The sequence below is a fragment of the Homo sapiens genome, chromosome 6 (assembly GCF_000001405.40).
Source record: "Homo sapiens chromosome 6, GRCh38.p14 Primary Assembly".
NCBI lineage: Eukaryota > Metazoa > Chordata > Mammalia > Primates > Hominidae > Homo > Homo sapiens.
This window is the reverse complement of record NC_000006.12, coordinates 105145664-105155902: the sequence shown is the minus strand read 5'-3', so window position 1 is coordinate 105155902 and position 10239 is coordinate 105145664. Positions and strand designations below refer to the sequence as shown.

Sequence of the window (10239 nt, the reverse complement as noted above, 5' to 3'; positions counted from 1 at the left end):
ATTGCCATCATGGGCAGCTCTTCCAAGCAGACACGAAGGCAGCTGTCTGCCAGATGCAATCAAAGGCCTTCAGGAAGCACCCACTGGCTTGTCAGTGGGCTTTACAATGGCTCTGGGAGAAATTCATTTCTTGAATCTTTAAGACTTTGAGATATTTATAAAGTATTAAAATGCAGAGCATCCCAGGTAGAAGTCACATCTTAAGTTAGTACTACCAGGTAATAATTTTACAGGGATTAATTATCAGATAGCTTTCTAACCATTAAAGTCAGCAGAGAACAAAGCCACATAGAAATGGGATGTAGACTTTTGGCTCAACTCAGTGGCAGAGGGGACAAGATTTTATATGTAAGTTTCCCAGAAATCTATTTTTACTATAAGGAGAAAGGGGTACAAACATAATGGGATAAAGGGATACTGAAAGAGGAGGTAAAGGGATGCTTTGAAACTTCACAGTCTTCACTTCTGTATAGGGCTGGCACTGTTCCTTGGTGTTAACAGATATGCTATTATCCAATACCTAGGTTTGCACTCAGGTTTTCTCACTTTATTAAAAAAAAAAATCAAAAACCTACAGTGACTTTTAGGTAGCTGTATTGTATGTCTGGTTTGAAATGTCTAGCAAACCACATACTATCTCAAAATAATCAAACCAGATGGAAAGCAGAAATGACACATATCCTAGAAAAATACCTCTGACCTCTGTATCATAGTGCCCCTAAAATTTAATTTTTATTAAAAATTGGGCTCATTTTAGTCTTAGCCTAATTATTTCCATCCTTTGGTTCTCTTGTCATTGATAAGAGTGCACTAAGATGAGCAACAGCTTGTGTTCTTGTGCTAAAAATGCTTTATGGCTTTGTATACAAGATCTGGATATTCATAAATAAATGGACTCTTTGTTCAAAGAGTCTTAAGAATTTCAAGATGGAGATGGCAGAGCATTATGCCAAGTGCGGGGCTCTTGTAAGCCTGGAGCCCTTTGTGACTGCACAGGTCGCATGCCCAGGAAGCTGGCCCTAGCTGAGTTGTTCCTAGACTTTAAGAAATTGGGGTGACTGCCTTGTGATTTTCTGTCCTAATTTTCATGGTCAGGAGGGACTCTGAGAAGTAGTGAGTCCGGGAAAAGAGAGTGGCTTTGGCACAAAATGAGGCCGTAAACACCCCACACCCCAGTCGCCAAAGCAAGTCCCTGGAGGCTGCAGGCTTCTCTCTTGCATGGCCTTTCCTTTACCTGCATATCTGGAGGCTTCCCATCCCCATGGGGCTATTCCTCTGAACTTGATTTGACCCCTGTGCAAATATGAGAAAGGATCAGTGGGATTTGCCTTGGACTCTGCAGCCCCTAGGAACTCATGGTCTTGAGATTAGTCTACTGTAAAGAATAGTATGATGCTCTCTGAGCACTTACAGCTTGAAGAATTTTTCTCTCCTCTTCAACAGGGGAGCAGAAGGAAATTCATTTGCTCTCCGCTCATCTGGATAAGCTCTGGATGCCACATTGTTACACTGCTCAGACCCAGAAAGGCAGAATTAACAGGGCAGTTACAAAGTGAAATTTCCTCAGCTGACAAGAGCCATAAGAAAAACAAACTAGGCAGACAGTACATATTATTGTAAAAGCAATACGTTTACAATTTTATGTATGTGAGATGCTTGGTTTGACAAAAGCCATAAATATACATGCAGCATTGGATGGCACTTTCTAATCGGGTTCCATGTTCTTCCTATACTGCACATTGTTAGAGAAATTAAACTTCAGAAATGATGTGCCAATTTAGTATTACTTGTTAGTAAAAGACAGTTTTTATACAAGTTAAAGAGATCAATGGGTCCAATTAATTCCACTGTTTTTCTTCATTCTACTAAAATTTAACGCATACATATCAATCAAAAATACAAATAAGCATTAGTATGATATAGACCTATTATAATAAAATGCAGGTTTAATTTGATAGAACTGTGTATTATTTCAAGACCGGAACTCTCACAGCTGTGAAAAGATGCAGCAAGACTGAAACACTGGTTACTTTAACTCTTAGTCATCTCATCGTAAGTATTACCATGACTGTAATGCTGAATTGTACATTTGCATATAATATCAGCATGATTTGAACATAACTTCAAGTTTTATTGCTATGCTAAATTTGACTAGTTTTAAAACCTACTAGCTATTAAAGATTGGCAGGGAACTTTAAAACACTTTTCTCCCTAAGAACTGATAATTTGTGTCTTGAACTGTAATTGTCCCCTTTTTTCTTTTATTCCAATTCAAGCTTTAGTGATCTTAATAAGAGTAATTTTATTTTATTTATAAGATTCTAAAATATTTGTTTTTACATAATTTCATAGAATTTTAGCTCCACTTGATATAATATCAAGTGTCTCAGGCCATCAGAATTGAGATTACTACTCTTATTAAATGTAAATTTACCTCACAAATTATATAATTACAAAACAATGTCTTACATTTATTTAACACTTCATAGTTTATGAAGCACATGCCTACATGTGATTTCATTTGCTTGTTCCTTGGAAGGATCCCATTTTATGGATAAAAATCAGAAAGACTGAATCACAGTTAGTAAACAGTGGTGACACTCAGCTTAAGCCTAATTCTTCTAAATCAGTGTCCTTGCATTTTTCATGCTGCACTGACCATGTTCTTGACTGTGTTCCTGACTTGGAGAGTACTAAAATGTCCCCAGTCTGACTTGAAGGAAAATTCAATGCCAAAATGCTAGTTACACATCTTCCAAATCTGTTAGTGACAGCATGAGGAAAAATTATTCAAACATGAACCTTTCTTCTTTTGAATCATCAGCAGTAGCTTGAGCTCAAATGTGGTTTACAAGTAAAATGTGTCATTAAGTGTAACTCTATTTTAAATGGCTATAAGTTTACATAATGAAAGAACAAGGCCAAGTTTCTTTGATGCAGTTTAAATCAGTTTTTAAAGTTTTGGTTCTGTCCAATTTCATTCAGATATTATCACAGCTCAATTGAGGTCTCTCTCTAGGTATCCTAGAGAGAAGCCTTCATTATCTCAGCCCATCATGTTTTATGTGCCATCCACTCCTTCTTATAAGAAAATTAATTCAGTGCCCCTTGTAGTGCTACTTCTCTTTCTTCTCTCAGGTAGAATAAAACTTTATGTACAATGAAACGTTGTAAAAGCTGAAGTTTTTTCAAATAGCACCAGGTAAGGGTTCCAAGATGTGGAAGAAATTTTTGGTGTAATACAAGTGGGGTTTCTGAAGAACAGGATATTACTGCAGAATATAAGTTGGTTCCTTTGAGATAAAAGTTTAACCAATGCACAAGCACAATGTCCATCTTATGAGAAAAGGAATTCTACTCTGAAACTCTTCCACTAGTCTATATCTTCTTCACTGTTAGAGAACAATGCCTGGCACATGGTAGCTGCTTTGTAAATATTCATTGCATAGAAGGAAATTAATTGCATCTTTATTTTTGAGACAGAGTCTCACTCTGTCACCCAGGCTAGAGTACAGTGGTGCCATCTTGGCTCACTACAACCTCTGCCTCCTAGGCTCAAGCAATCTTCCCACCTCAGCCTCCCCAGGTGCTGGGATTACAGGCGTGAGCTGCCATGCCCAGCCAATTGCATCTATTTTTGTATTTGAATTTTAACATTGAATTCCCTTCTCAAGTTGATTTCAATTATGCAGTGCCACTAGTAGTTTCTCATGAAATAAAATGTAAGAACTATAATAATAGCATTTTTTTATGATATAGAATTATTATTTCCTTAAATGACTTTCAAAGTCACATTTTTTCTTGCTGATACTGTTGAAGTGAGTCTGAACAGCACTTGTTCAGGATGCACAGTTATTAGTCTTTAGGTTCCAAGATCATTTATTGAATTGAAAATCTACAAAATGATTTTTGCTTAGAGATTCTTTGTTGGGAATGTTAAAAGGTAAACTTAGGCAAAACAAAATTTTGAAGAGTTTATTTGGGCAGACAGCAATTCATGAATCAGGCAGCACTAGGCTACAAGTGGTTCAGAGCTTCACTGTAGGGGGACAGGCAAGAGAGAAACTTATAAGGTCCAGAAGCAAGACAAAGAAAATATACTTCAGTGGTTAGTGTGGAAAGTCCCTAGTTAGAGGCTGGTTGGCAATTTCTGATTGGTTAAGCTTAAGTTTTGTTTTACTGTTTACACTGGGCTTTGGTTTTTTTACATAGGAGCCCAAGGCACTGGAGCCACCTCAGCCTAATGGCCTCCCAATTAAATTTTCTTTTTTAACAGAAACATGTAATGGATTATCATGTCCCTCATAAGTGCAGTCAGCCCCCTGTATGTGAGGGTTCCACAGCCACAGATTCAACCAACCTTGGATCCAAAATAAAATGTAAGGCCTGTAATAATAGCATTTTTTTTCCTGCATGATGTAGAATTACTATTTCTTGGAAATAATAATTTGGAAAAAATTTAAAATAACAATACAACACTACAAATAATACAAATAAAAACAATATGGTATAACTATTTACATAGAATTTCCATTGTATTAGGTATTATAAGTAATCTAGAGATGGTTTAAAGTATATGGAAGGATGTTTGTATGCTATATGCAAATACTAGGCCATTTTATATCAAGGACTTGAGCATCCTCAGATTTTGGTATCTGAGGGGGTCCTAGAACCAATCCCCCACAATACCCAAGGATGACTATAATTCCATTTTAAATGATAAATTAAATAATATGGCTCTCACACCCTTTTCCCAGGGATGGCAGAAAACAAACATTTGATCCTGCCATTTAAGAGACATTTCTACAACCCACAGAATGGAAGAAAATATTTGCAAACTATTCATCTGACAAGGGATTAATAACCAGAATATATAAGGAACTTAAGCAACTCAATAGGAAAAAAATCAATCCAATTTAAAAACGAGCAAAAGATCTGAATAGACATTTCTCAAAAGAAGACATGCAAATAAATGGCTGGCAGGTATATGAAAAAATAGTCAACACCACTAATCATCAGAAAAATGCAGCTCAAAACTACAATGAGGTATCATCTCACCCCAGTTAAAATGGCCTTTACAAAAAAGGCAGGGAATAACAGATGCTGGTGAGGATGTGGAGAAAGGTTGGTGGGAATGCAAATTAGTACAGCCACTATGGAGAACAGTATGGTAGTTCCACAAAAAATTAAAAATAGAAGTAACATATGATCCAGCAATCCCACTGCTGGGTATACGTCCAGAAGAAAGGAAATCAGTATATCGAAGAGAATCTGCTCTCCCATGTTTACTGCAGCACTATTCACAATAGCGAAGATATGGAATCAACATAAGTGTCCATCAACAGATGAATGGATAAAGAAAATGTGGTATATAGACAAAATTTTCAGCCACAGAAAATAATGAAATACTGTCATTTGCAACGACATGGATGAAACTGGAGGACAATATTTTAAGTGAAATAAGCCAGGTACAGAGAGACAAATATTGCATGTTCTCACTCATTTGTGGGAGCTGAAAAAAAAACTGAATTCATGGAAATATAAAGTAGAATGATGGATACTAGATACTGAGAAGGGTAGTCGGTAAAGGGGATATGAAGTGGAATCATTAATGGATACAAAAATACAATTAGATAGAATGAATAAGATCTAGTATTCAGTAGCACAATAAATAGGGTGACTATAGTTAACAATAAATTATTGCATATTTTTAATAACCAAAAGAGTGGAATTATAATGTTCCCAATACAAAAAAATGATAAATGCTTGAGGTGACAGGTACTCCAATTACCCTGACTTGATCATTACACATTGTATGCCTGTATCAAAACGTCACATGTACCCCATAAATATATACAACTATTATGTACCCATAACAATTTTTAAATGTTTTAAAAAGATGTTTCTTTCCATTTTAGGCAGTTATTATATTTTATTTTTTAAATTGTATTTATTTTTGCAATGAGGTCTCACTCCATCACCCAGGCTGGAGTGCAGTGGCACGACCCGGCTCACTGCAGCCTAGAACTCCCAGGCTCAAGAGACCCTCCCACCTCAGCCTCCCCAGTAGCTGCAACTACCATGGTATGCGCCACTACACCCAGCTAATATTTTTTTAAGAGATGGGGGTCTCGCTATGTTGCCCAGGGTGATCTTGAACTCCTAATTCCTCCCTGGATCGAATGCAATGTTGCTTGGGTAGTTGGTCTCTGGGTATCTGGGCTGATGGCACCTAGAGTGTGGTTGGCTCTGCTGCTGCCTCTGACTTGGAGGCCTCTGCATTCTTCCCCTATTGCTACGGTCTGACCCCAAGCATTTCCCACCTATCAGACCACTCAGTGTTTCTGAATGAATGAATGAATTCTGAATGAATCTCATGGTTAAACCTTCCCTCTGCTCCACCAGCTCTTTCCACTCCTTCCAAACGTATCTTTTTCAAGTTGTTCCTGTTCCATCATTAATCAGCTAGACAGGACAGGGGAGGAGAGGACGCTGGTGATGGGGAGTATGAGGGTGGGCTGTGGGGTGGGGTGTCACTGTCATGGTGAGACGTCACCATAATTCTAATAAAGTAATATGACCTGGTAGAATATTAAGTGTCACTTTGTTATTTATTCTATTAGAAAAATAATGTATTATAAACAAGTTAGAATAGAAAAAAGAAAAGACAATCATTCCACTATCCTAACCCAATTTCTATTAACATATTGGTATACATTTCTTCTACTGTTTTCCCCATTCATAATAATTTAAGTTGTAAAACATGATTTTTAAAAAGATTTACTGTTTGTTCTATTGGAGAATTTACCGAGTTCCAAATATATGTAAATCATGTGCTAAGCACCACGGAGATACGAAAGATAAATCAGATACACTTCTTATCCTCCAGAAACTTTTGACCTGGAGGGAGAAAAAGTCTTTTACATAAATATGTAAAAGGTAGCAAGTAATAAAGGCCATAACAGAGATAGAGAAAAATGGCTCTAGGGAATCACACATCTGTAGCGTCACCTTAAAACAGCTGGGAATCACATGCCAGCATGTTAAGTCATCAATAATGTAAGTACTGAATGCCAAGTCATTAATAGCAATATTTTATTTTTCCCATTCAACATCAATTTTCTAGGTATTACAAGTTTTATTTATTTATTAAACCAAGTCATTTGAAACCTTCAAAACGTGAAAAATTTCCTGATTCACACTGTAATACTCTATTGCTTTTAGATGCCATTTTCTGAGCTTATAATATATTCATACACTTCTACTCAGATGACTTAGTGTGGCTGAAAGATATTAAGAAATTCTGTGTTGTGGCATGCAGTAAAACTGCATAATAGTTCTGTATATCTCGTATAAACCCAAATCATCTTCTGTCAGAAACTGCTCTGTCCAAAGTACTTCTATTCTTCCCATACTCTAAAAAGAGATTCAATGGCTCTAAAATCTCTTTTTCAAAGCATGATCTTTTTGTTCTTTCAGGGGAATGTGTGAGGGTGCCCTATAGTTTTCAAACTAAATAGCATTTGCAATCACTTTGTGTGGTTCTAAATTATATCAAATATGTTTGATCTTGGATTAGAGAAATGTTTCATCATGTTTACCAATTTTTTATGCAAAATGCTAAAACTGCTGGATGTGGCTCATAAATATTTTATTAGGTTTTATATATGTATTAAACTAGAGAGGTGTCTTATTTTCATGAATTTATTACAACAATTTAAGTAGTACTAATAATACAAATTTGCATTTAAATAATTCTTTTCTCCTGGGAACTGAGTGCTTTTGCACATCAATTAACGCCGGATGGCAGCGTCATTATTCCCAACTTTTATTTTATTATTCCATCTTTATGATGTGCTGCTTTGGGTTTTTGTTTCTAGCCTTATGTCAAATTACTTGGCTGGCTATTATCAGGCCTCCTATTTGCCTCCCAAACCAGCCTTTTTGGAGGAGTAATTGTATAAAATGATACAGAACTCTATGTCACATAGTAGAAACTCTATGATAATTGAAAGTTCTGCTTTCACCAGATAAAGATTAGAAGTCCTTACATGGCTTCACTTTTTTTTTTTTTTTTTTTTTGAGACAGAGTCTCGCTTTGTCACCCAGGGTGGAGTGCAGTGGTAAGATCTCAGCTCACTGCAACCTCTGCCTCCTGGGTTCAGCAATTCTTCTGCCTCAGCCTCCTGAGTAGCTGGGATATAGGCGTCTGCCACCACACCTGGCTAATTTTTGTATTTTTAGTAGAGACTGGCTTTCACCATGTTGGCCAGGCTGGTCTTGAACTCCTGACCTCAGGTGATCCACCCGCCTTGGCCTCCCAAAGTGCTGGGATTACAGGTGTGAGCCACTGTACCCAGCCTATAGCTTCACTTTCAGTCAATCAAAATCTTATCTATACCACTAAATTACATACTATTAAAAATTGCCAAAAGTTATTTTTCTACCTTTAACAAGTTTTCCTTTCTAACCACTAAATACCTCATATAAAGAAGTTGTTTACACACTAAATAAAACAGTACCTTTAAAAGTGTTGTCCTCAGAGACTAAATGGTTGTCAGCATTTCTCTTCTCTGAAAGTGGACATGCTTGAGATTTATAGATGGGCTTTATAGGTCTGCAAATTCCTAGAAGTTCCCAACAGGGAAAGAACAAAAGACAAGAGAGGTTGTCACTATAGATGGCGCCAGACATTTGAATCTGCCCTTCTTGGGGTATCTACCTAGGCCCCTGATCCAGTTTTGTTTTGAAGATCCTATCTGGCCCAGAGATTGAATCCTTCTGGTTACAGGTTGAAGCTTCTTAGAGAATTGAGTGGAATTCAGGGTCACTTCTCTGATCCTCTTTTCATACTTACCTTTTTTATTTAAAACACGATTTTGTTATGCCTGCTTACTTACAATAATTTCCTTCTCTTTGAAACAATTTCCAAAAGGATTAGGAAACCCTATGAAATGCTTCATCTGTGGCCTTTGTTTGTTATAATTAATATTTAAAACAAATATTAACAAATGTAATTCTTCTCTTTCAGAAGAAAAGCTATGTGAAAAAGAATAGACAGAGGGAAGATCAGGCCTCTGGTTTCTGACAATATAGTTACTGTATGCACATTTCTGCCAACCCCAAGATGGTGAATTACTGTAACTTAGCTCTGCCAACTGCCCAGTTTATACAATCTAGACTGTTGCATATTTCATGAGTTTGCTTTTGAAGCCAGTATCTTTTTTTTTTGAGATGGAGTCTCGCTCTGTTGCCCAGGCTGAAGTGCAGTGGCACGATCTCAGCTCACTGCAAGCTCCGCCTCCTGAGTTCACACCATTTTCCTGCCTCAGCCTCCCGAGCAGCTGGGACTACAGGTGCCCGCCACCACGCCCAGATAATTTTTTTTATTTTTAGTAGAGACAGGGTTTCACAGTGTTAGCCAGGATGGTCTCGTTCTCCTGACCTTGTGATCTGCTAGCTATTCCAGGGAAATCCCAAACTACTGGAAATTTTAGCATGCATCAAATTCTTATAATGTATAAGCAAGTTTCATTTAAAATACCTTGTGTATTCTGTATTCCATCTATTTAAAACTGGCAAATATATAGAAAAATGAAACTACATTTTAGCTACTTCATGTGTTCATAGGATAGTTCAACTATTTCTTCAGACTAGGGAATTTTGGTGATTCAAATTCATTTCCATTAAACAATTGAACTAGAATTCAAATAATTTTTATGAATTGTGAACCATGTGCAGGGCACTATTAGGGGCATACAAGAGATATGCAATTATGCTACCAAGAACTAGATGCTAGGCATTTTAAAAAACATAATCTCTAAAAGTCAAAATCATCTTGGTAACTATGAGTTATTTTCCCAGTTTTATAGACAAGTAAATTGAGGCTCAGAAGAGATAATTATCTGAATACACATACAGCCTATTAAATGTAAAACCATTGTTCAAATCCAGCTGCTAATTCCAAAGCTACCACTCTTTGAACTGCCTTCATAATTCACTATCTTCTTAAAGTTCGGGGTCACTTTTTAAAATTTTGGTGTTGTGTGTGTGGGTTTTTGTTTTTGTTTTTTTTTTTAGACCGAGTCTCGCTCTGCCGCCAGGCTGGAATACAGTGGCGCAATCTCAGCTCACTGCAACCTCTGTCTCCCAGGTTCAAGCAATTCTCCTGCCTCAGCCTCCCGAGTAGCTGGGACTACAGGCATAAGCCATCATGCCCAACTAATTTTGTATTTTTAG

At 37.0% G+C, this 10239-nt stretch overlaps 1 long non-coding RNA gene across 1 annotated transcript in view; it reads right to left on the bottom strand.

Annotated features, from left to right (window-relative positions):
- POPDC1-AS1 (POPDC1 antisense RNA 1) overlaps positions 1-10239 on the bottom strand; it is a 32259-nt gene that overhangs the window by 14043 nt on the left and 7977 nt on the right. The window contains exon 2 of the long non-coding RNA NR_037157.1: positions 8523-8627. This is a non-coding gene — a long non-coding RNA (POPDC1 antisense RNA 1). The remainder of the gene's footprint in view (positions 1-8522; positions 8628-10239) is intronic.